The 27,242-nt window shown below is 35.4% G+C and overlaps 1 protein-coding gene and 1 long non-coding RNA gene across 9 annotated transcripts in view, besides 2 other annotated features; one reads left to right on the top strand and one right to left on the bottom strand.

The window, feature by feature from the left end:
• The window catches only part of WDR72 (WD repeat domain 72), a 249,138-nt gene that overhangs the window by 184,869 nt on the left and 37,027 nt on the right, over positions 1 to 27,242 (top strand). The gene's annotated exons all lie outside the window — the stretch shown is intronic.
• Positions 22,456 to 22,625: an enhancer, noted in NCBI's record as "experimental_39776 CRE fragment used in MPRA reporter constructs". NCBI's record gives its function as "activates a minimal promoter by MPRAs in K562 erythroleukemia cells, with activity observed for both the introgressed and non-introgressed 15:53847667 or rs76695954 variant alleles {active_cell/tissue: K562}" and the evidence as "EXISTENCE:reporter gene assay evidence [ECO:0000049][PMID:34662402]".
• Position 22,540: a transcriptional cis regulatory region, noted in NCBI's record as "Neanderthal adaptively introgressed variant 15:53847667 (GRCh37/hg19 assembly coordinates) or rs76695954 in the experimental_39776 CRE". NCBI's record gives its function as "modulates activity of the experimental_39776 enhancer by MPRAs in K562 erythroleukemia cells {active_cell/tissue: K562}" and the evidence as "EXISTENCE:reporter gene assay evidence [ECO:0000049][PMID:34662402]".
• Positions 25,011 to 27,242, bottom strand: part of LOC105370826 (uncharacterized) — a 107,205-nt gene continuing 104,973 nt past the window's right edge. Inside the window, exon 7 of the long non-coding RNA XR_007064645.1 lies at positions 25,011 to 25,375. This is a non-coding gene — a long non-coding RNA (uncharacterized LOC105370826). The remainder of the gene's footprint in view (positions 25,376 to 27,242) is intronic.

The following is a 27,242-nucleotide window of genomic DNA, read 5'->3' as shown; positions in this document are numbered from 1 at the left end:
AGATATTTTGAAAGCAGATACCCACTGAAATCTATGATATGGATAGAATTCTCTTCATTTTTAAAAATTGTATTTGTAACAAAGCAAACCAATATTATAGAAAATGGAGCAAATACATTTTAAAAATTGTGATTACCCAGAATCATATCACTAGAATAAAAACAAACTATTATAATTGGGTTATTCCTAGTTATCTAAAACCTAAAGCCAATGTTAACTTTAATAAACAAATAAAGGGGAAGGATTAGTAAGGACTTCAAACACTCTGAAACAAACCTCGGATTCTTATTCTCACTTAATGTAGCTTTTTAAGTTTGTCCTGGCAACTAAGGAAAAGAAACTGTTTCCCATTAAGGCATCATATATAGATGCATCCGTGAGGATAAACATTCTTTCCTGGAACTATTTTCCTGGAATTTATTACACTGCTTTATATATCCATTATAAAGCAGTGCTAAGACACAAGGTAGAATGTGTCTCCAGCCAGTTTTCTAAAAGGTTCAAACTATGCTCTTAAACATGACAGTTTTTTTTATATTAGCCTTCTGTAAGATCAAATGACATGGTATTGAGTCATCTCTCAGAAGTCTTGTCTTTGATTGACTGAGATAATGGGGTCCAAGACATTATTTTCTGATGGTCTGAGACTTCAATGATAGAACCTAGAATAGTGCAGGTAAATGGATAGTTAACATGCCCATTTAGGCTTTTTCTCTAAAATATCAAATATCTTAAATGAGCTTTGGAGAGGTGCTGGACCACATTCAATTTGCAATCAAATTCCCTTAATAAGCTTTTACAGTGCAGAAGTTCTTCCTTGCTGATAAAATGAAAGTCATAATTTTGTGAGGCAGGTACTGACCAAGTTTCTTTCATACGAACAGGTAGCACACCCATGAACAGCCTGGCTGTGTCCTAACAGCATCCTAGTCTTTTGGAAGAACAATGGATCTTTTCAAGCTAAAATGCACAGTAGTGATTTCTAGAGACTGCCCAGTCTTGGAGCTCTAAAGCAAAGGTTCAAACTGATCCCTTACAAGTACATTCTGTTTGACTTAGACAATGCTTTACAGAGAACAAACCAAACAAACAACCACCAAATTTCCAACATATAAAAACCAGATTTCCCAAAAATATTCTGGATATCTGACTTCTCATGGCAGATAGGAAGAGAAACCACACTAAATTGCCATTTTCATGCAACAACAGTAGGCTGGAGCTGATAGCAGCTAGTGAGATAATAACCTTTTTTGCAGAAGTGTGTGTTCTCCAAGTCATCTCAGTATCCACCAAGCCTGTCTTGTTCAATTTTCCCTAGGTTCCCATAGGAATCTGAGTTTTTCACTTGGTTACTGTCACAGAGAGGTAGCTTTAAGTTGAAAAATTCTGTATGTGTGTATTTTTAGGGGTGGGGGAAGAAGAGAGAAGGAAAGGAATTATTTAATCTAAATTTCACCTAATAAGTAAAGGGCACTATACAAGTTACCATGCATACAAAAAGGAATAAGACACAAGGAGTACAATAAGATGTGTCATTTGCTTTAGTGCAATGGGAGTGGCTGTCCTGGACACACCTGCTTATGGAGAGTTTTGGAGGAACTGGAGGCTCTATACCTTACTTCTCTTTTCTGAACATCCTTAAAACTTAATTTCAGAATGTTCATCTTACTGCTGACAGTCTGAGGGGTCTGTGAAAGATGCTAACAGCTGAAACTCCTTTCAAGTGTGATTATCTTGGAAGATATGAAGAGGCATACACTGGTTAAACTGCCCCTAGGCAAACACATACTTTGAGGTACAGCCCTAAAAAGGGCTAGATGGGGATTAGACACCTGATTAACTATAACGCAATGTCATAAGAGCTATTTTAGGGGTGTAATTAGAATACAATCGTGTAAGTGAGGTGATGGAGCAGGCTTAAAGTTGGGGTGGGGCCAGTTTGTGAATGGTTTTGTATGCCATATTGTAGGTACTAGAAAGTTTTCAGATTTATAATTTGGGTGTTTCTCAGTTTGGTAGATGAATCAAAGATCAAAGGGCCTATAAGCAGGGAGACCAGTGGTCTCAGTGGGCTCCAGTGATGTCTTCTTTTCAATCCTGCAGAAGTTGTTGACTGCCAGTTCTACCCTGGTAGATAGTGATGAGCTAAGTGATTGCATAGACTTGGATTAGCAATTAAATGTCTCTGTGTTATGGGCATTGACAGCAGCTGTTAAAATGCACAGGTTAACACTAATTCAATTATGGACATCAATACTCAACCTCAGATTACCATTCTCCAAATCTAGGAGGAGCCCAAAAATTCTGTGTGCTTTACACACATGATCTAATCTTTCTAATAACTATGCAGGCTAGGTACTGTTATTTCCATTTTACAGATTAGAAAACTGAGTTCAGTTTCCCTTCTACAATATATGACCTGTATGCCTAAAAAAACAATACACAGACTCAGGTTATACCATTGAGATATCAATGTTTTAGACTTTTAAACCTTCAGTTCATCTTTATACCTGGTAGTAAAGTTGTGTTATGGGATATACAGGGTTACCACATTTTGAAACAGGGATGTTTGTGTTATTAATTAAAACTTTATTTGCAGAACAATCATGGTTTTATTTCAGTGACAGAGCATGTAGCAAATAATATTGATTATAGCCTAATATATAAAGTGTCAGCATCCAGTTATAAAGCATCTCCTTGGTGTAATGTAAAAACTAGCCATGAATCACTTCCCATGAACATCAGAGATTAAGTCTACATTTACACCTGAGAGTTTTCTGACTTGACAGTTTTCAAATGCCATCAGTAGTGACCCTTATGTTGAGTTCGGAACATACGATATGGTAGTACTCATATGAAAAATAAGCTACTAATTTACTACATTGCTTTTTGAAATATATATGTATCAAAACACATAATATATGCATATAAATTATGTATACATGTATGTGTATACATACATTTTAAATGTGTGTGTGTGTGTGTGTGTGTGTGTGTGTGTGTTGTGTTTGATTTTCATTAGCCTCTTTAAATGTATTCTAGGGCAATGCTTGTTGGAGGATTTCCTCACTTGGAAGTGAGGGCTTGGTACGGGAGTTGTTTTAACCCTTTCCAGGTCCATCATTATAAATACCTGTGTACACTCCTCCTATCTCACCCCACCCATATATATTTCTTCATACATGAGCACAGAGAAAATAAATAGACTATCCTATGAAAAGCCTCTGTTAATTTATTTTATAGAAGGAAAAAATGGAGGAAGAAAAGAAAGTCTGATGTCATTTGTTACATAAAACTGAAGTATTTCCTTTGCATTAGAAATAATATAATGAAAAAAATTATTTCAAGAAACATAAGCAAATACTAAAATAGTCTCTTTAGGACAAGTTTGAATAAAATTAATTGCATTAGAAATAGCTGAATTTAAAAAGTATGAAAGAACCCTAAAGCTACATCATATCTTTCTTTGTTCTGAGATACATATTTTACATATTTCTCCACATTTTATCATTTCCGAAATCTGAGTGCCTCTTATAATTGAAGAACATAAGTTCAATGATGGTGAATATTTTATCTATTATATTCACCCAATTTTCTCAATACCTAGGTCAATGCCTGTCATTATTAGGCTGTAAATAATATTTGTTGAATAAATGCATGAATCTAAGTTAAAAGATAGTTTTGAGCACCCAAACAGTGGCTGTCATTGTCTATGTGTGGGAACTTAGGCATGTATAGAAGGCATCTCTTCAATCAGTTTTCACTTCGGCTGAAATTATTAGCGTTAACAGCAATGCCTACTGCTAAATTTTAAATTACGTTTGGATTTTTAATTGTCACTTAAAATGTCTTTGGAAGGATTATATTGTAATACAGAATTGAAACAAATACCACCTTAAAAATAGAAGATTCCCTGTCATACATCAAGAGATACAGTTAAAGACAGCAGAAATGGACAAATCTTTTATAAGAGATCGTCACATTTTCAATCTGGGTGTATTTCTATAACATACTCAAACGTTAGAAAGTACTAAGAAGTTTCCAGCTGACTTTCCAGAGGATATGTTTAATATCCTGAGATATGTGAATCAATTAAAGAAATAAAAACAAATGCAAAACTAGGAAATTAACAAATTAAAAAATGCAAATGAAACAGTTGATGTTGGCTGGGCGCCGTGGCTCACGCCTGTAATCCCAGCACTTTGGGAGGCCAAGGCCAGTGGATCACCTGAGGTCAGAAGTTCAAGACCAGCCTGGCCAACATGGCGAAATCCCATCTCTGCTAAAAATACAAAAATTAGCTAGGTGTGGTGGTGCACGCCTATAGTCCCAACTACTCAGGAGGCTGAGGCAGGAGCATCGCTTGAACACGGGAGGTGGAGGTTGCAGTAAGCTGAGATCGTGCCACTGCACTCCAGCCTGGGTGACAGAGCGAGACTCCGTCTCCGAAAAAAAAAAAAAGAAAAGAAGCAGTTGGTGTTAAAATGGATAAAGGAGTTAAAATTACAAGCAAGAATCATAAAAAACACATCATCAAATGACATTTATGGAATAGCAATGACCAAAATGAATCAGAAAAATTTTAGCCTTTGAATACATACAGAATTAGACTCCAAGATTATTAAGATATTGGAAAAGAAAGGCACATGTATAATATGAGTAAGCATATGCCATTGTGAATTGATGCAACATATGAACAATTAATGTGGAATTTCCTTCTGTATGATGACTGTTAACACACCTTAGAGTTATTCATAATATCATGGAATGAAGGAAATAGACACACAGCCACATGCACATTTAGGGAGGTCATTTGGACAAAATGAGATACTTAGCTTAGAGGAACAAAGTTAAATCACTAGAAGTTTGAATGTGACAAAAATCAAATAAACAGTTGTTTTTAACACAATATTTGCTATCAGAGTTGAATGGCACTGTTTGGAATCCATGACCATGAAATGAAGTCTTGTGACTGAAATACTGATACCTCTACCTCCTCCCAACCCAACTATAAGGACGCTGGTATTCAATAAAGCAACATTCTACTGCTTCCCTTGATTTTGTTATCCAATTAATGTAAAACCCAATCCCTATGGAAAACTTATATTTGTGATGAAAGGATAGAAAAATGTGGTTCTCTAGAAAGGAGAACTCTAATTGCTACTGAATGCTGACTTTCTGTAAGGTTCGGGAGCATTCCCAGAGGGCAGTAACTGGAGCACAACATGTATTGCAACAAAGACAGGGCTTTTTAAATCCAAGTATCAGTCAGCCATAGGCTGCAATTCTCGCCATTTCCCAGGCATCTATAGTCAAGTTGGCTCCTGTCTGTTTAGGAAATTCTTCAGAGAAAGGTTAAGAATTTCTTGCATCAAGGATCCCATTATCTCCCACAAAGAAATTTTTTTTCATTTGAATGAAGTCCAATTTATCAATTTTTTTCTTTCATGGATTGTGCTTTTCGAGTCAGTTCTAACAAACTTTTGCCTAGCCCTAGATCCCAAATATTTTCCTTTATTTTCTTATTTTAATGAGCTCTTCGAAAACATAAGCTTTCAATGTGAGGGGAAAATATCATAGGTAGGGCAAAAAAATATATATCTCACACCGTATACAAAAAATCAACTCAAATTGGATTAAAGACTTAAACACAAGACCTGAAACTCTAAAACTGCTAGAAGAAAACAGGGGGAAAGCTGCATGTTACTGGTCTGGACAGTGTTTTGTTTGTTTGTTAATACAACCCCAAAAGCACAGTCAAAAAAAGCAAAAATAAACAAGTGGGATTACATCAAACTGAAAAGCTTCTTCACAGAAAAGAAAACAATCAACAGAGTGAAGACAACCTACAGAATGGTAGAAAATATTTGCAAATTATACATGTGGTAAGGAGTTAATATTCAAAATATATAAGGAATTCAAACAACTCAATAACAAGAGAACAAATAATCCAATTTAAAAATGGACACAGGACCCGAATACAGATTTCTCTAAAGAAGACAGAAATGGCCAACAGGTATATGAAAAAATGTTCAACATCACTGATCATCAGGGAATTGCAAGTCAAAACTACAATGAGATATCATTCTCACCTATTAGAATGGCTATTATAAAAAGATGAAAGATAAGTGTTGGTAAGGATGTGGACAAAAGGGAACACTTGCACACTGTTGGTGAGAATCTATATTAGTACAACCATTATGGAAAGCAGTATGAAGATTCTTAAAAAAAAAAAAAAATGAAAAATAGAACTGCTGTTGATTCAGCAATCACACTGCTGGGATTAGTACCAAGGAAATGAAATCAACATGTCAAAGAGATCTCTGCACTCCCCTGTTTGTTGCAGCATTGTTCACAATTGCCAAGATATGGGATCAACCTAAGTGTCCATCAATGGATGAATAAATAAGGAAAATGTGACATATATAATCAAATACTGTTCGGCCTTTAAAAAGAAGGAAATCCTAGTATTTGCAACAACATCAATGAACCTGGAAGACATTATGTTGAGTGAAATAGGACAGGTACAGAAAGACAAATACCACATGATCTCACTTTTATGTGAAATTTTAAAAAGTTGAACTCACAGAAGCAGAGAATAGGGTAGTAGTTTCAGGAGCTGGAGGCAGGGGTTGGGCATTGAAGAGACATTGGTCAAAGGATACAAAATTTCAATTCAATAAGAGAAATAAATTCAAAGTATGTTTTGTTTGTTTTTTTGTTTTTAAATTCTGCAGATAAATATGCATATTTTTTACATGGTTATAGTGCTTGATACTAAGTTTGGCTTCTCATGATCCTATCACACAAGTAATAAACATAGTACCCAATAGTTCAACACTTTCTCCCCTCTTTCCCCCACCACCCATTTTGGAATCCCCAGTGTCTATTGTTTCCATTTTTGTGTCCCTGTGTACTTACTGTCTAGCTTCCACTTACAAGTGAGAACATGCAGTATTTGGCTTTCTGTTTGAGTTAATTTGTAGTATTTGGCTCCATTTATAAGTGAGAATATTCGGTATTTGGTTTTCTGTTTGTGTTAATTGCTTTGGATAATAGCCTCCAGCTGCATCCATGTCGCTGCAAAGGACAAGATTTCATTCTTTTTTATGGTTGCATAGTATTCCCTAGTATGTATGTACCACATTTTCTTTATCCAATTCACCATTGATGGGCACCTGGGATCATCCCATGTCTTTGCCATTGTGAATAGTGCTGTGATAAACATGAGTGCAGGTGTCTTTTTGGTACAACAGTTTATTTTCCTTTGGGTAAATATCCAGTAATGGTTTGATGGATCGAATGATAATTCTATTTTTAGTTCTTTGAGAGACCTCCAAACTGCTTTCCACAGGAGTGAACTAATTTGCATTCCCACCAACAGTGTATAAGCATTCCTTTTTCTCCACAACCTGGCAACATCTGTTATTTTTTGACATTTTAATAATACCCATTCTGACTGGTATGAGACAGTATCTCACTGTGGCTTTGATTTGCATCTCTGATGGTTAGTAATGTTGAGCATTTTTTCATGTTTATTGGCCACCTGTATGTCTTCTTTTGAGAAGTGTCTGTTCATGTCCTTTGCCCACTTTTGAATGGCGTTTTTCATTTTTTTCCTTGATCTGTTTAGTTCTCCAGGTACCTATTGTACAGCATGGTGACTATAGCTAAGAACAATGTATTGTATTCTTGAAAATTGTGAAGAGGTTAGATTCTAAGTGTTCTCACCACAAAAAAAAAAAAATGGTATATGAGGTAATACATATGTTATTTAGCTCAATCTAGCCATTCCACAATGCATACATATTTCGAAACATCATGTTGTGCCCAATAAATATATAGAATTTTTATTTGTCACTTAAAATAAAAAATTTAGCTTTTAAAAAAGTATATACTGGAAAAAAGGGGGGAGTGTATTCCTGCAAAAGCATGAGATACATTCTCACCTATTAGAATGGCTATTATAAAAAGATGAAGGATAACAAGTGTTGGTAAGGATGTGGACAAAAGGGAATGCATTTAATGGACTATGACCTCACTCCTACTGAGTTGTTAAGTGTGAATCACCGTTACATACATTTCACTGAAGACCACAAAGGCCACCTATGTCAAATGTTCATTGTTTTCATAGTTCATTGTTTTTATGATTCATTGTTTATGTAAAGATAAATAAGCAAAATAAAAGTAATGACATATGAAATAATGCAAATTATACTTTCTCCCTCCCATACTGACATTCTAGGGGGGCATGATAAAGAAAATCATTACTCTCATGACAGCAAACCTCAGTACTCTGAGAAGACTTAATTAGAAGTACAGCAACTATACCTCTTTAAAGACATCCAGGTGCTTCATATCTTCTGGTACCACATTCAACATTTGGTCTTGTGAATGCAAATAAATGCCTCATAAGCTGATGTATAGATATTAGAAGGACTTCTTATATGTTGAATTCTCCTGACTTCAATGGGTGGTTCAGAGTGTAGCCATTCTATGATGGTTTCAATCTTATCTCTGTATTCAATACTGTATTTTAGCTGATAGACACGTGCTTCAAAAATATGACACCTCTCAGGTTGCCTGTGTGGCTGATGCATTTTTCTCCCACAGTCTTGTCCACACCATTTTGGAGAACTTGTACCTACAGTGCATACACATGAGCTGCTAGTTATGCAATCCTTGTCATCTCTAATATTACCTGTGATGGGTGGAGACCTAGGATAAAATGAAATAGTGTGTCCCAGGTCTTGGAAGCTGGGAGTGTAGAGGCTCAACATAGTACTTGATGTAGACAAGAATGACCACATAAAGGCAGGGATAGGCTGGCTACCTGTATTTCAAATCACAGAAGACTGGTCTTCAGAGAAAGAGAATGATCTCATGTGCAGAAAGAAACAGACCATAAGTCCTGTGAAAGGAAAGAAAACTTTAGATTAGTATTATGTTTTCAGTAAACTCCCTACCACACCTAAATACTTTGCATTCTTCCATTTCTCCCAATTACTCTAAGAAAAACTGGTAAATTAAACATTATTTTACAAGCTAAATATATCATAATTAAAATTTATGTCATATATATAGTATATATCGTACCATTCTTTGTGGTAAACTTCAAAAGGAAACAAATTTGTATGTATCAATGATGTGTTCAAGGTATATATACTTATAATGTATGTTTACATTGATAGCAGCTGAGTTTTTAACTCATGAGAAATGATAACCCTACACATAGAGCTATGGTTATAGTTGAATGAAATGGTCTATAGGCCTGCTAGAGATGATCAGTGGTCCTTTTGGAGCAGGAATTGATGAGGAACTTTTCAAACCATGATGTGGAAGAGTGACTGGAGGAAATGGAATTGTTTTACTTCAAAAAAAATAAATTCTTAGCATGGAAGACATCAATAGTGACCACCTTAGTGACAATGGGGAGCAAGTTGGGATCGTTACAGAAGCCAGAGTGAACAACATTGCTAGATGTACAGGGAAGCAGATTTTTGTATAATAGTTAAGGAAAATGTTTACACCCTTAAGCCTGTTGAATGAACAGGCTGCCTCATTAAGTGGTGAGCTCCCTGTCACTGTTGTTCAAATAGCGTCTGTCACAAAGTTAGAGTTACTGTTTTGAGTATTAGATTGGTTAGAAAATCCCTATTTTCTACTTCATAAAAACCGATTTCACTATTCTGAACTTCTTAAGGGTCTGTAAAAAACAAAAGCTTATGTACTTTGAAAAGCTGCTCAGTAAAGTTGTACTGTGGATCATGCATGCACTTGTATGTGATCCCCACATACGATCCCCATATTAAATGGTAAAAAATTATTTTGTATTTGATGTAATTTTTTTAAATTTACCTATTTTTAAAAATCAGATATTCATTGACTAATACTTAGAAATTAGTAGAATTTACTTAAAAAAATAAAAAAAAAAAAACAAGACAAAAAATGCCTAGAATCAAATCTTGATTTGGAGCATCCTAGATAATCAATAGTCTTTATTCAAGGCAACTGTTTGTTATGATCAGGATGATATGCAATTAATGTTTGAGATAAAACTTGATGAAATGGAGGAATATTGAATTTAAGACATTTCTAATAAAGCTTAGAAATGATTATTTGTTTTTTATCTGTTGATAAAATAAAAAATTTGGTTTAATAATTAAAACTGTTTTTAAATTAGTTATTAATTTGACTTAAAAATCTGGTACACACTAGATTTTTCATTGTTTTCAGAAGATTTTAGTAACGTTACCATTTTATGTATATAATTTTCAAGGCTTTTGTTCCTATAAAGATCAGTTTAAACACATAAAAAAGGTGTTTAGATTCTGTAGTTTGGTCCAGTCTTAGTTTTTAGTTTTGGTGTATTCAGAAGTGGAATTTGGTATGCTAACATAAAAGATATTGTCTTTTATTTATAAAACTGGTTATATAAACAAAATAAGATCAGTCTCATCTCTCTCGGATATGCAGGTATCCTGCATGGATATGCAACAGAGATTGGTCAGCCACATTTAAAGAACTTAGTCCCTTTGAAAAACAGGGTTTTTTGTTTGTTTGTTTTTTGGGCTTTTTGTTTCCTTATGAGGGAGTTGGGGAGAGTGGTGGGCCTGTTGGAGCTTCTTGAGTCTGAACCCATCAATTGACTGACAGTGCCTACATATTCTTCCCCTCAAATCTATTGTATGAACTACATATTACACAGTCTAGGCAGTTTTAGAAAATCTATACTCATTTCTCGATTCCAAATGTGAAGGTCCTCCTTAAACCTAGAGGACTCCTGGAAGGATTTACAGGGAAAATATAACAAGACTGATTTCCCAACACATGTTGGACACACAGCTCACATAAACCTTTGCGTAGCCCTCTGTAGATTTATACGAGGTGGTGTGGGAGAATTCTCCCTGCCATTGAGTGCAGCTCTCCTGCTTCTGAGTTATGTCAGGTACACAGGAATCACTCCCAGACACTCTCCTGGGACTGCAACGGTTGCCTTTAAATCCTCAATTTGACACTTTTCTGCATGGTTATTAGAGTTTAAAGAAATGTATCAAGACTCTCAGCCAGGCTAGAGAAAGCTATTTGCCCCAGGACTATCACCTGTGCAAGACAGTGTTGGTGGGTATGTTCCAGTAACCTATTCTTTCCTGTGTTTGGGGACTATTTCATGAATATTACTTTTACAGTATATGAGAGTCCTTATAAATAAAAAAGTGGGTATTAATAATTTATTTGTAAAGTAGTTCAAAGTGATTTTTTAAAAATATGGTTTGGAGATAACATTTTCTTTGGGTTTTCCTTCCTGTCTTCTTATCTCTTAGTTTGTTCCTCACCTCTTTCATGTTCTCCTCATCCTTGACCTGTTCCTTAAATGTTGCTCCGTAGATGAGCCTATCCATGCTGGTGACTTCCCAAGCGTAGTGTCTGTACACTGGTGAAGTCCCATATATTCCCCAGACTAGACTGTTCTCCTACCTCCCAGGCAGTAGATATCTCCCACTGTCACCTCAAACTCAAAAGTCACCCCCCGACTCCTTGCTTTCCAGCTGTAAATCTTAGATTCCCAGTCTCGACGGATAATGCTGATCTGTTCCTTTTCTTTATGCTCTGCATGCATTCAGTTACCAAATTCTGTCAGTTCTACCTCTGACAAATCTCAAATGTATCAACTTCTCTGCATCCCAAATGGTATTGTAGTGGCTAAAACCACTTGCTCTGAGCTAATAGTAATACTTGCTTGGATTTGAATCCCGGTTTTGCCATGTGCTACTACCAGCATGTACTTGGACAAGTAATTAACTATGAGCCTCTGTTTCATTTTGTCTTTGTCTGAAACCAGTAATAACAGTTAGTGTGGTTATAGGTAATAAATGTGATAATGCAGTGTAAGTGCTTAGCAGAAAATCTGACATGTAATACGTGCTCAGTAAAAATCCTTGCTCTCCCACATAATCAACACCGGGTTATCTCTAATCCATCCATTTTCCACACTGCTGTAGAATATAGCTTTCTAAAATGTAACCCTAATCAGAGCGTTCCTTCTCTTAAAACCCTTGATTTATGCTCTAGTGTTCCAAAGATAAAGTCTAACTGCTTTTTTGAGAGGAAGGAAACAGTCATGCTTATGCTTTGCAAATGACATTGCAAATTATTACAGCCTCTGTGGAGAACATTTTTTCAGAATCTACCAACATATTAAATGCTCATACCCTTTGACTCAAAAATTCTGTTTTTTTTTTAATTCAACGTATGTGCACATGTTTGAAATGACTTAGGTACTAGCTAATTCTTTATATTTTTGCTTGTAAGAGCAAGAGATTGAAAATAACTTAATTGTCCATCAGCATGTAACTGGTAAAATAAATCATAGTGTGTGCATAGTAGAGTACCATGCAGTGTTTACAAAGAAGTAGGAGATGTGCTCAATATCCAAAATACATTAGGTCAAAAAAGCAAGATGCTGAACTGTGCATAGTATACCTTACTGTTTAATTTACTGGAACAGGAGTGTGGAGAATAGGTCTTGGCACATTGTTGCATATGCATTTAACATCTCTGGAAAGACACGCAAGAAGCTGTTAATGGTGTTTGCCTTCCAAAAAAGAAATGGGTGGCTGGGGAGAGGACAGAAGGAAAACTTTTCATTGTTTATTCTTTTTACACACTTTTTTTCTGTGCACATGTGTTCAAAAAGTAATTTATTGAAAAGAAAAAAAGTCCTACGTGATAGTTTCCTTTCAACTTCTTAAACTGCATCTCTTGTTTTTGCCTCTTAAACTTTCTAAACTCACCTGCCTCGAGTCCCCAAGGGCTCCCTTTCTCATGAGGTTCCCTTGCTGGGAACACTTTCCCCAATCTTACACTTATTGTACCCAGAATATGCTCATGAAATTTTTATTTCTCCAGCACCTTTCCCCAAAACCTTTCCCAGGCTTTTAGGATTGAATCAAGTGTTTTTTTCCTGTATACCTCAAAGCACCCAGCTCTAATTCCTTTCACTTAGGAAATTTTCTTGTAGCTCATGGACTATCTGCATTAGAATTATCTGGAGGACATATTAGAAAGGTATATATCAGAGCTCAGCACTGAATCTGTCAACTCAGATTCTGGGCTTTTGGCCCCAGCATTTTCATTTTTGGGTGGTTTTTCTGCACACTAAGCTTATTATCGTACTTGCCTATTTTCTTGCCTGCTGTCAGCAGGACTAGCACCTTCATCATTTTATGCTTACCCACGTGACTGGAAAGGAAGGATTTTCAGTAGGCATGGAAGCAATAAATGTCATCCTACTGAATAAGACCTTTGATAGGTCAGAAAATACCATTCCTATAAGACCAAATGTGGATGCTAATGGTTAGAGCAGCCAAATGGTTTATCGAAGGCCATACAGAAAATTTAGACACAGAACCTGAAGTCCAAGGTGGGCCTCCTAGTTCCTGTGCTAATATTCTCTTAGGGCTATGCAGTTGACCTGGAGATAGTTTCTTTAAAGTTTAATTTTAAATTCAAGTTATTGTAATCTTAGGAAAGGAAATAAAAATAATAATAATACATGGCATGTTTACCAGGTAATTTGTCTTCTATCTTTAGATGCTGTCCTAGGATATGAGAACATAACACACAGCTAGGAATTTTAGATAGGCATTTTAGCAAATTTAAAATTGTTTAAATGTAAAAATTTAAATTATGAGAAACAGTTGACATTTCAGGTTTATATTCTTAACAGTATATAACTATTCCTCATATAAATTTGCCTCCAAAAAAATCAATTATCAGATTGAGCAATTCTAGCCATGCCAAGATGATAGCCATTAGACCCCTTGTTTATTAAATTCTTTTGCAGATAAAGGTGCCAGAAATGAATTAATGACTGTTAAAACAGCTGGGCTTTCTTGGTTACAAGAAAAACACCTTGACATATTTTTTGACTCTGTGATTGGTCTGCATTTCAAGGGTATAAATTAATCTTCAGAAGATCCTAAAGAATATCTTCCCTGGACACTTCACTTATACATCAAGTTGGCCATGTTAGCAATCTAATCACAAACCTGTAATTCAGCGGACAACAATTTCTTATTGTGAACAGCATAGCGGCTTTTACTATCATTTAGGTCAGCCCAAGATTGCTGATGCACTGTATGTTTCAGACCAGGGATGATGGATGACGAGCTCCGATGCCCATCCCTAAGTGATTGGAAAGATTGAAGACACACAGTTCACTTAAGCTTGCTTACTATTACATCAAGTAATCAGTGTGATAGGCAAGCCTGTGCTCTTTATGTCATCCAACCAACATTCTGCAAGAACAGTATTTCAGATTAAAAAAAAATCTTAAAAATTGTGTTCCATCTGACATTCCTATTACTAGATTAATCATTTAGCAAACAGCTTCACCTCAAACCTAGTTTGGGGGTATTAATAAACATTTTTAAATGGGCTTAATACCTGGGTGATGAAATAATATGTACAACAAACCCCCATGACATGTGTTTACCTATGTACCAAACCTTCACATGTACCCCCAATCCTAAATTAAAAGTTAAAAAATAAATAAATAAAAATATCTATTTTATAACAGGCAGATCTTGCTTTCCTTTATTTTAACAGCTCAAATGAAGTACATGTCACTGAAGTCGTAAGTGAAAGATGAAATTAGTTTCTTTTAAATTTTACTCAGTCCAGGTAGAGAGACTTAAAATAATTTTATATTATATACCTAATTTCCAATTTAATAAATTAGTCTGCTTGTTAACTTTAAATCATAAAGTTCTAAGGATGTGTCTTTGCTGAAACTGATTCATGTAAACACTATTCTCTCAATCACATCTTACCAATATCCAACACAAATAATTAGGACCATTTTTCTAGCTACTATTTTGTTACGTGGAAAATTTCTTTCCGAAAGTGATGAAGAAAAACCAAGTGTATATTTTAAATTGTCAGCTTTGCACTAAGAGCATAAATCACTGAGATAAATTTTTAAAAATTCCCTCGCTTTTATTGTTTCAGACACTGCAGTTTATAACCTCAAGCAAAACATTTCATCGAATAATTAAATGTATCTTGGTATGATTTAAGTAACTTAGAGAACACAAGGCATAGAAGACCTTAAAATTGTTCATCATTGCTCATTTATTTTCTAAACAATGTCATAATATAAGTTTATTTGACTTTTAGAATACCTGCATTGCCTGCCATCATATACCAAGTCTAATTATAACTTTGTGGAGAAAAGAATGCTGAAGTCCATTTATCTCTTGGGAAGGGTTTGCAGTAGGGGATAGGAAATCACTTCTTACTTGAAGTTTTATTTTTATCCATTCTTATTAACATCATTTATATATCATCATCCCTCTCTTCTTTCCTGTTTTTACTTATTCATAACTTTTCAATTTACATAAATGATTTGAGGAAATTTGTAATGAAGGCAGGTAACATCATAAGAGCCATCACAACTAATCTAGCCCACTGATTCTTAAAACTTGGTTTTGTCCCTGGACCAGCAGCATCAGCATCACCTGGGAATTCTTTGGAATTACAAATTTAGGGGTTGTATCCAAGACCTACTGAATCAGCAACTTGTGTTTTAACAAACTCTCAGTTGCTTCTAATTTACACTAAACTTTGAGGTCCACTTTTCATTCTAGAGTACAAACCAAAGCCAGGAATTAAGAAATAATTGGGGTGGGGGGCAATTAAGAGAAAACTAGGCCACAGGTTGGAAAAAAGCTGCAAGAATTGAATATGCAAAGTAGTAACAAGGATTTAAGAATGTAAACTCTGTAGTCAAAAATAACTGGTTTTAAGTTCTGGATGTTCTACTACTAATTAAGGACTATCTCACCTTAATTTTTTCAACCCCTCCTGGTCTCAGTTTGCTTGTATGTAAAATAGGAAGACTGACATTGCTTTGAGCATTAAATGAGAAAATTTACTTAAAAAGAGCTTAGTGCAATGACTAGCATGAGATAAAAATGTATTAATGTTATCTTGTTTCTTGTTCTTAATATAACTCAATTAACAATAAATTACCTAAAAAGATTCATGTTAACTACTTGAGCTTTCTAGTGGCTACCATAAAAAGATAAACAAAACAGGTTACATAGCTTTGATTACAGTGGTGGTCCCATCTCTGGATGCACACTTGAATTACCTGGGGAGCTTTTAAAAAATATCAGTGGTTGAGCCCTACTGTCAAAAATTTTGATTTAATTGGTCTATAGTAGGGTGCTGGCATCTGTATTTTCTAAGAGGTCCTCAGGTGAACCTAAAATGCAGACAGAGTTTAGAAGTACTGCATTAAAGCAGGGCTTTTGAAACTTGAGTAGGCATATGAATCACCCAGGGAACTTGTTAAAATGCTAGTTCTTACTCTTTTGGGGTGAGGCCTGAGATTCTCTAAGAATTCCCCAGGTAACAGGCACTTTGGATAACAAGAAATTGAGGTTTTGGAAATATATGAGTTTCTAGGGAGAAATTAATCATTTTCCTCCTTTATTTGTATGAGGAAATAGAACCAGAATGCAGCAAAGTATGCACTTATTTTATGTAGAGGAATACCCTCTTTGCTGACGGCTTTAAGCAAAGTAAAACTATGTTAAATTTTGATTTTTTTAATTACTTTGATTTATATATTTATATTTGGGATATGAATTTGGGTTCTGGACAGAATAAAAGCTTTCAATATGTTTGCTTTTTTCCTCAGGAAGTTTAAAAATAGAGTAAAATTTCTAATATTTTTGGAGAGAGAGGAGAACTAATACTAGGTCTTAGTAGTGCATTTAAGTTTTAGAAATAGCTATATCCTTACCAGAATTAATTTCAAATGAAGTCCTTTTGGTTGAATGTGCTACACCAGTTGTCTCATTTATTGAAGGTAAAAATTCCAGGTGTTCTGAACAATGCAGTTTATGATACTCAAAATCAAATAATACAACTCTAAAATGCCAATAAAAGAGTAGAACTGAAGATTTATGAAGTTCTAATCTCAAACAAAGGACTGTGGTAATAATATCTTTAGGGAGAGTGAAGTCTGGGAATTAGATAAGAAGAGAGAGTGTGGAAGAATATAATGTTTTTAAAATGATTCTAGAGCAAGTCTCTTTCTTTTTTCTCCTCATTCATTCTCTCCCTGTGTTTTTTTTGGGGGGCCGGGGCTGGGAGGACACAAATGAATATAATGAGAAGAATGCAGTGTGGTTATTTTAAGGTTAATAATTTTAGTTGACAAGAATCAAGCTAAAGACAAGGGTCATACCATTGTATTATTTGCTGTTAAACTCCTTAGCAAAATAAATTCCAGTCATTGAAACTGCTCAAAGCAACTAAAAAACTTAAACTAGACTTCCAAAGTTATTTATGTCTTATCTAAAGGCCATTCTCTATTTTAGAGCACAAAATAAAAATAAGTACTGCATCTTAATTCTTGGAAAAAAAATAACCTGGTGTATCGGGGTCATGGCAGTGAATATCCTGGTTTGTGATGCTTTGGAGTGAAACTGCACAGGAAGGAAGGGGTGGGTCGCCATGGGATCTCTAGGATAATACTTATTCTCATCCTTTACATCTCTACAGTTAAAAGAGTTGCTCGTAAGGACAAGTAAAGAATCTGAGCTTCTAACCAGTGCGGTATTCTGTCCTTTATAGTGAACTTGTTTTGTTTTGTTGTTGTTTTTTAATGTGAAGATGTCAAACCCCTACCGTGTGCATCAGAAAGTAGCAGAATATGAAGTAAGGCACAACCTCAATCTGGGCCATAATAAAGTAGCTGTTCATCTCTGGTCAGAGAGCACCATGAAAGACCTTGAGTTCCTTCACTTTATTTTGCAGAAAGCCATCGGACAGCTTTTCATCATCTAGCTATATCAATCAAGGACCTCAACTGCTGCTGACTGCTGAAAGCTTTCCTGTTTGGCTCTGTTTTTTCACAGACAGCTCAATAACTTGTCTGTGGAGTTGTGATAAATGTGCCATGTGCTTCTAAACTGTCTCTTTAACACTGGACTGCATTTCAACTTGTAATGCTTGTGACTAACTGCATGTATCAAAGGCTTTTTATTTATTTCTAATGATTATCCAATAGGCTTATCATTTATATTTCTCACTCCTCTTCATAAAGTGGTTTTATTTTAAGTTGCACACTGCAGACTGTCAGCTAACCTCTAATATAGCAGCTCTTGCTCAATGAATAAGCTGTCGAGTTAAGAGAACATAATTGGCAAACCCCAGTACATAACCAGAGCAAGTGCAAACTCCTAATGATTTTTCTTTCTCTTTTTGTGATCACCACACATAAGCCATAGTTTTAAACACCAACTTTATGGCCGCCTACTGTGGCTGTCGGAACGGAAATTTCCTATTGGTTTTGTCCTCCTGTGTAAGAACGGTAGTCAGGATCACAAAACCTTCTTGTTTGGGCACAATTGCTAGTTTCTGTTAAGGAGGCCCCGAATAGAGCTATTATGGTAAATGAATAACTTCTCACTTTGAAAGAAGGTGGTTCTTTCAGATCAGGTTGGAGGTCAATGACAGGGCAAGGAAAGGAAGCTCATATTGCAGCTGTCTGCAAATGAGCTTTTTCCTACAGATATTGTAAGGAAAAATAAGAGTCTGTTGGGGAGACTGATCTTCACCTAATCTTTACAAAACATTTTTAGAAAACCTGCATGTTTTTTCTTAAACTTTCATTGTACTTTAAAAAAAATCCACATGTGTATCATCATTACAGTTTGTGTGAATTGCGAATGAGGACTCTTTCTTCTTTCTAGTCCATGGCTAAAAGAAACCAAGGCTACTATGGCAGTAGCAAAATCCATGTTTCCCAATCCTAAAATGAAAAAAAAAAGAAATGCCAATACTCAGGGAGAAAAGTACATTAGCAAGTTATAAGTAAATAACCATTTAACGTTGGCGTTGCTTTTGGGCTATATTTCTGTGAACTAAAAGCTTGAGTTTGAATCATACATTGATAAACTGAAGAGATGCTTCAAGGTATGCCTGAGATTCTAACTCTCCAAGAATGTGGATTTTAATAAAAATCATGCACATTTTAAGTATGCACCTGGAATAAGCTAAGAAATAGAATGTCCCATTTTTAAAGGCTAAAAAGTTAAGTTTCATTAAGAGACTTTTATTCTGAAGTCATTTCTTGCCTCACTAAAAATCCCGTCAAACAAATGAAATCAAAAGGCAGGTGCCATTTACTGCTATGCATCAGAATAGGCCAGCCTCAGTCATTGGCTCCATTGGAAGAAAAAAGTTATAAATAAAATCAAGAAATCATCTACATAAGGTTTTGGAATACATTACAGGGTTCTTTCTTACACAGCAACCTAGTGAGTGGACTTTAACTTTTTGAATTTATAAATTAAGAAATCAATTCAGCATCCCATTAAACATACTTTAATGGGATGTTGAATTGCTAAATCATCATTTTGTGACATAATCAAATAATCTTTGCTTCTCCTTCACTCCACCCCTAAGCCATTTCCATAAAGATGAAAGATGGGGGATAGTATCTATGGAGTAATATTTAATGAAGTTTCAATTGTCTAATGTGATACATAGTATTAACTTTAGAGCACATTTTTCAGAATTCGTTTTTGTTTGTAAACATCAGGGCTACTTTCTTATACCACAGTTGTAAATATGTTTGGCTTGAATGGTTGGAGTCTTCTGGATCAAGGCCAAAAATCTGCCAGGTGATAGGACGAGGCAAACCGGAATTAAAGATGTCATGGATAATGTTTTTAATGTTGACAACTAAGGATAATTATTAAGGATAATTGCCATTAAAACTGGATAAAATGTTAAAATTAATATTGGAGTCTATGAATTCCTACTATAGAATGAGCAATAGATTCTAGGACACATTTATAGTAGAAGTGGAGCTGTGTCAGTCAATGTCTGTGGAAAGATAGTGACCTGGGCCTTTGTTCTGAGTCCTCTACTCAGGGAACCCACTGCTCCAGATTCCACCAGTGCCCCTGTTTCAGCATCAACGAGGGAAGAGGTCACCTCTACCCATTATTCACTACAATAACCATACCAATGTACACTTCTACGGACATGCCAAATACATTGGGTGGAAACTAACATTTGAATCTCACCTCCTCAATCTGTGTCATCCTGGCTAGCCACTTTGAGCTTTAGTTTTTTTCTAAAACCTAGTAATAATAATATGAGAAATTAATATATGTAAAACATTTTTTGAACTGTAATATTATTATAGAAACCTTAGATGCTATTAAATCATTCTAAGGCTAATGAGAGCCTTGGAGATTATCTAGGAACACCTCCTTCATTTAACTGAGCCTCAGGATGGTCGGTGGTCACTTTTCCAGGCTCACGGGCTGATCTCTCTTGACCTCAGCCAGATTTCATTACACAAGAACTCAAAAGGTGCCATGTAAGCTGTTGCTTCTCCATTCCTACCTTCTGGCATACATTGCTCGTAGATCAAGGCATTGTTTCTTGCGACATCCAGATACAACATTAGAAATCTTCTGAACATCGCCTTCCAAGCAATCACTCTATAATCTTTTTGAATGTGGTGTTTGAGATGAAATTCTTAGCCATTGTAATGTCTGAGAGACCCTTAAGCTCACACAAAATAAGTCAACATTTGGTGCTCCTCACTTTGGATTTTCATATTATCATACTAAAGGCAGCAGTCAGTTTTTTTCTCCAAGATAATCTGAAAGTTCAGGGAAATTTAATAAATGCTGAACACAACACAGCTCCCTTCACTTAGAAAACAGGCAAGAACTTCCTAACCTTAGAAAGCTAAGTATAATGACACTGTAATTGTTCATTTTGCTCTGACTGCTATGGCACTGCTGGTTGGCCTCCAAGCTTTTTGGACAGCCTGATATACTGAGAACTAATAAAGCAAATTACCTTTAAAGTGAAGTTTCTTACTCTGGCCAAGTCAACCTTGGCAGTACTATTGTTTAATTGTTGAAGTCAAATTTCTTTCAGTAAATTATTGTATTCATCTTTCCTTTTTTATCTGTTCAGAGTGAAACTCCTTTCTATCATTGCTCTAATAACCTGAGTTAATTATTCAAGTTATTGTATGTGTATGTGTACTATATGTATACATATGTATTATACATGTAACATGGATTATATAACATTAGTGAGTGTGTAACCTTTCCACATGTACTCAGCATGCGCTATACTCATAATTTACATTTCTGTAAAGACCAGGTTTATGCAAGGTTTTGAACCATGTTGTAGAAAGCCTATAATAGCAGTCTGTATTTTTTTTCTTAGATGACTTGATGAGCATGCTATAGTGGATTGAACCCATTCAAGATATTGCATTTTGAATCATCAAAAAGGATTCTCTATGATTTCCCAATGCAATTATATTTATTCTTTGAACTTTTATCAGTTTGGGCAGTTTACTAGGCTGGGTTCACCAGATAATTGCCAGCTCAATGCCAAGTCAGCCTTCTTCACATGGATGATTTGGGTGATATGGGTGACAGTTGATAAGTCAGTTCCATCCATCCATGTACAGGAACACTGCTGAATGTCACCCTGCTGATTTCCAGACCCTACTATAGGCAGTCTGCTAGAAACACTTATGTGAATTCTTTGAAGTAATAGATTAGGGAAAAAGTGACTTATTTGCAACAGAATGAAAACTAAAATGAAGAAAGGAACACAAACCTTTAGTTCTAACAATACTCTAACTTAACAATTTGTTCTTATGCTGATAAGTTTAAATGGTTTTCATCATTATAATTTATATCCTGATACTCAGTTACTCAATCTCATTATTTAACTGTTGGTAAAATATTTTCTCCAAGGATGGACATTGTATTGCCTCATTTATATATTTACCTCTTTATTATGCCTTAAACTTTTACACTGGCAATTAAAATAGAGCATTATTATTTGTTTTCTCCATAGATAAATGATGGAATACATTGTCATCCAAACATTTATTTTCAAAGAAAATGTGTTTAAAGATTTTACTGTATATTTTGGTTTTGAAACAGTGTAATATAGCTACATATTAGAGAATAATAATGTAGAAACACAGATTCAAGCCTCAGTTCATTTTGCTATTTGTTAAACAATTAGTTCATTCCTTTTGTCTTTCTTTATTTTGTAAAATAAAATTAATAGCCCTTTCTTCTGAAGGAGTGCTATAAGACTTTTTAGGTAATGGATGTGAAACCCTTTGTCTTTGCAAGGTAATACTACAGTAAAGGGCTGAGAAATATATATTTTTTTAAATGGCAAACCATTGACCCAGCAAAATAATCAAATAAGTGGTCTGAATGTAAAACAAATAAATCAAAGTTCATTTTAATTTAATTGAATTATGGGTGATAGGGTGAAATAGTAGGAGAGTCGAGTGAAATATAAAACATTAGCTGGTTTGCTATATTAACAAAACTACAAAGAATACCACAAACAAAAAAATATATTTATTACAACATGAAGGACGAGAGATAAAAGTGGGAAAGAGGCAAATGAGCCAGAAGGAGAAAACTGATATAAAAGTTGAGTATTCTTTATCCAAAATGCTTACTTGCACATGTTCTCTCTCTCTTTATCTCTCTCCCCCTACATTTCCCGGTTTCCCCCAGATCTATTTCTTTCTTCTTTGTCTGCATCTTTGTCTCCCAGTGTTTCTTTCCTTTGTGTCTGCCTCTGCTCTGAAGTCTTTCGTGGGTCCGCCCTGCCTCTGTCCTCCGTGAAGTGCACGTGCACTTCCTGAGTTGGTGCACAGTTTCCTTACCCTTCCCGCACTTACACTTCCTGCCTTTTTTTTTTATCTTAAATGGCTTCACATTGTAGAAAGTGGAGAAAAACTCAGAACCTGGTAATAAAAGATGTCTAAGTACCAGCCCTGCTATTCTTTGCTTCTCCATCTCAGATGAATCATTAAATCTCTCCGTATCAGTTTCCTTGACTCCAAAATGAAGATACCAATAGCCCCTCTATACTCAGTGGTGTGATGGAGCCAGCTAACACCAGCTCCTGACAGCCAATTGTATGCATCTCTCCTCAGCTTTGTACATAGTGACATCATTTTGGTAGCTTGAAATTAGTTATGGTGGGAGTATTTGTACCATAAAAATTGACAAATAGTACAAATCGGGGTTTTTGTTTGTTTGCTTTTATTAAACATTTACCAACACAAAACTACATATATTCTACGTGAGTTTGTAGTGAGGTTATGTAAAAATAAATGTGAAGTGTGTAGACGGGACAAAGAAGTGCTCCACAAAACACATACATAAGGTGTCATTTTTCCTCACTCCCTGTAAACTCACTTCCTTTCTTCTCCTGTATCACAGTTCAGCTGATGTATATCTATGTAGCAGTAGTATTCCATGTTACTAATTAGAATGGGACCTCACCCATAAATCTAGGTCAAGTGCCTTTACTTTGGAAAAGTTGTGACTTTCTGGAAAAGTTCAATATGCACAAAGCAAAATTTTTGCAACACAACACAATGATGCTTACTAGGGCTCTGCACACCAAAAGTCTTCTATATGCATTTATTCAGTTACAGCAAATTGAACAGGCTTGAAACCAACTGAACCAGCTTTGGCTGCCATTTTGTCTTTCTATTTTGGGAAGATAATGGGAAATTGTGATAAATATATGGTGAGGGTTTCTCTAAATCCTTCATTGTTAAGTTTTTTTTTTCCAATTTATGGTAAATAACAAAAAATTGGTTCAAAACAATTTTTACTCATCTGTGTGATATTACTACAAGTAGAGACAATGTTATTTTACCAAATGGCTCTTCTGCAATTCAAAAATTGGCAAGAGTTTAACATGAAGAGTGAAGAAGACTATCATAGTCAGTTGAAAGCTAAAAGGGGACCTAGCAAGAGAAATATAATTAGCTAAACTGGAATTTGGCCAGGCTCCTGAAATCTTTTATTGAAAAGAATACCAAGTAAACACAAAGGCACTATACATGTTATTAAGCAAAAGTGTCAAAATTAGACATATTATAGGATATTTATCAAAAAGAATGTAAACATTTACCAAGTTTACTTTGTAACAGCTGTTATTTTCCAAAAGCAATAATGAAAATTTTAAGGATTAAAATTGTAGGGATGGATAGTTTAGTTTAAAGCCATATTTCTGTTTTCATTTTAGTTGGAAATTTTTAAGGTTTCAAATTACATCACTGTGTTACTCAAATAAAGTTAAACATTTAAACTAATTACTATGTCACAAATATCCATATAGCTTAATACCTTGTACTTCTACATCCGTTATCTAAATACAAGGACTATTTGCACCAAAATGAAGTGAAAGAGTCACATTTAGGTTCATTCCCATTTTTAGAAAATTCTCATAAAATCACCTTGCTGTTAATATAAGTGAAATGCATATAGCATTTCCTTTCTTCTTTGCCAGTGCTAAAATAATAAAGGAAATCAGAGGTGGAAGAAATACCTTGACCAATGTTTAGGTTTCTACTCAATTCAACAACTAAATAGAAACATTGGGAACTCAGGAAAGAGTCTCCTTAAAAGCCACAATAGAAATATTTCTATAAATATCACTTTACATGACACAACAGCTTCAGAAATTTGTTCTCCCCGTGCTACATAACACGAAAACACTGCAGCACCCACAACCTGGGTTGAGGCAGCTCATTAGCTGAGCTGTCTTGGTGTGTGTGTCTGCATCTGTGAAAGAGGAAACACTCACCCTGCCAGATTTGGGTCATCAGGTCAACAGGTCTCATTTATTATTCAAAATTGCTGTCTGACCTTTTATCTGCTAGGTCAAAGGACGCTGTATTCTAGTTGGTTGAATTTTTTAATGATGAAGCCGCTATCTTGCCAGATAATAAAATTACATCTCCCCTCTACCGGGCATTATGATTTTCTCCTCCCCTGTCTAAAAATGTAGTATTCTGAATCATTGCTGTGGGAAGGACCCTAAAGAAAGCCATTATTTTTAATTTTTATCTTTTTTTCATAAGATTTCTAGAGATTTAAATGATATTGACCGTTGACAGTGACTGAAGTTATTTTTCTTGGCTATGATTTGAACCTTTCAACCCACCTTTGGGATTCCACCGCTTCCTATAGAGCTCCTGGGCTGCACAGGAACTAATACTTTCCATGCCGATGGCCCCTGAGTGTGGGTAGTCATAGGTTTTCCAAGCCAAAGGGGATGAAATCAAATGGCATTCGATGTTGACTGGTTAATATTTGCTTCTGGATGAGAAATACGTAACAGACAAATGTGTAACTGTCTTCCAAGTCAGAGGATGTTTGGAAGCAGTCTTCTATTCTTCTATATGATACAGGTTTTTCATTATCCAAGAAAGAATTTTTTAAGCCACTTCATTATTTTCTATGTGTCTGTTTTCGATCTTATAAAACATAGTGAAAGAAGAACAGTTAAAACCCACTCCAATAGAGAATGCATTTGAAAATATTCAGACATCTAGCCCTTTACTATAAAATTAACTATAAACATTTAACAAGCAATATTGAAGAAGATTGAGACTGCTTCAATAGCAGATTGGGTAGCTGTGCAAATAGACATTGTTCCTAAAGAATGATTTTATCCCGTGTAAAAGAAAAAGTAAAGGTCACGTTGGTCCTGCCCTTGAAGCAGACATATGAGATGTGACCATGTGCTTTGTGACACTGCATATATTGAATAATTTTGACAAGCTAGTAAACAAGTAGTGGAGAATATGTAGCATCCATGAGCCCAGTGAGGCATTAATACACTAAACAGTTAAAGTTACAACTCTGAACTTGGATATATAGCTTTGTCACCACTATGAAATTAACTGATATTGACTCTGTGTCTTTGAGTATTTATACATACTAGTACATACATAAACACACACACACACACACACACACATGATAGGTATAGAATAATTCAGTTGAGGATAGTCTAAAAATGTCAGTGTCAGGTGACACTTGCAAGGCATTCCAAACAACGAATTTTCTGTCTTTTCCCTGAATATGCTCAGCAGCAGATGGCTGAATGGTCACTTCAATTCCTCCCTTTCCCACTCTGATCTCAAAAGACTATTATACTAAATAGAGACCAACTGCCAGACAGGATCAGAAGTTTCCTGCCTAGCATATTGCATGTACATGTGCGTGTGTTTGTGTGTGTGTGTGTGTGTGTCTGTGTATTCTAAGTCGTCTTCCATATCTGAATTGGTATCCTACATCTAATTTTACCACCTCTTTCATTGATACCTTTTATTGGGTTTAGCAGAATCTTCTTCAAGGGAGTTTTCCACCTCTGGCTCCCTGCTTTCTTTATCTAGACCATCTTATGTCTGACTCTTAAGGTAATTGTTTTTTATAGTGATTCTGTGATTTATACATAGGACTGACTTTTGTGTTTAATTTTTACATAGCATAAGAATTGTATGTTTGCATAAGTAACCAAATTCATGGTGATAAATGTCTCCAGGTTATTTATGGACAGGTAATAAATCTACGGAAGGGAGATATGACTTTCTTCCTTTACGCATCTCCTGATTCTGGGTGCAGTTGCCAAGGGTGTTTTGCCCAGAGAAGGTGCTGGAAAGAGAAAGGCTGAGAGTGGGTTTGATCAAATTTCCTTTCCAAGACATATTTCTTACAGCAGTCAGTACGATCTTTACATATGTAAATCTAAACATGCCAATTCTGCGTGAATTATTTCAACATCTTCTCATTGCATTTAGGATACAATACAAAATGCTTAACAAGTGCTCTTAGGCTTGTGGTTTGACCTCTCTCCTCTCCAGCTTCATTTTTGCCAGTCACCTCCCCGTATTCTGACCTCCAGTCTCACTGGCCATCCTCCATTCCCCAGACCAGGCCAAGCTCCTTCTTGCCTCAGAACCTTCACAAATCTTTTCAAGTGACACCCATTTAACCTGTAATCTTTCCCATTGCCTACTCTTCACCTAATTTCTGCCCATTTTTCAGGTCTTAGTTTAAAGGTCATTTCCTTAAACAGATCCTCCTTGACCTCCAAGCTTCATTAGGTTCACTCCATATTTATTCTCATGACAAACTGTGAATTTCTTTCATATTACTCATTTTCTTTTTTAATTAATAATCATTTATATCTTTTGTGTTTATGTACAGATTGTGTGTCTCCTAGTCAGATTCTAAGCTTTATAAGAGATGGAGAGCCTGTGTCTTTTGTTTACCACTTCTCTAATACCTGTATTCCAGGACCTTTCACATAGTAGGTGCTCAATAAATATTCCTTGA

The sequence above is a fragment of the Homo sapiens genome, chromosome 15, assembly GCF_000001405.40.
Source record: "Homo sapiens chromosome 15, GRCh38.p14 Primary Assembly".
In the NCBI taxonomy this organism is placed as follows: Eukaryota; Metazoa; Chordata; class Mammalia; order Primates; family Hominidae; genus Homo; species Homo sapiens.
Note: the sequence above shows the minus strand (reverse complement) of the source record. Positions and strands in the feature narration are given on the sequence as shown.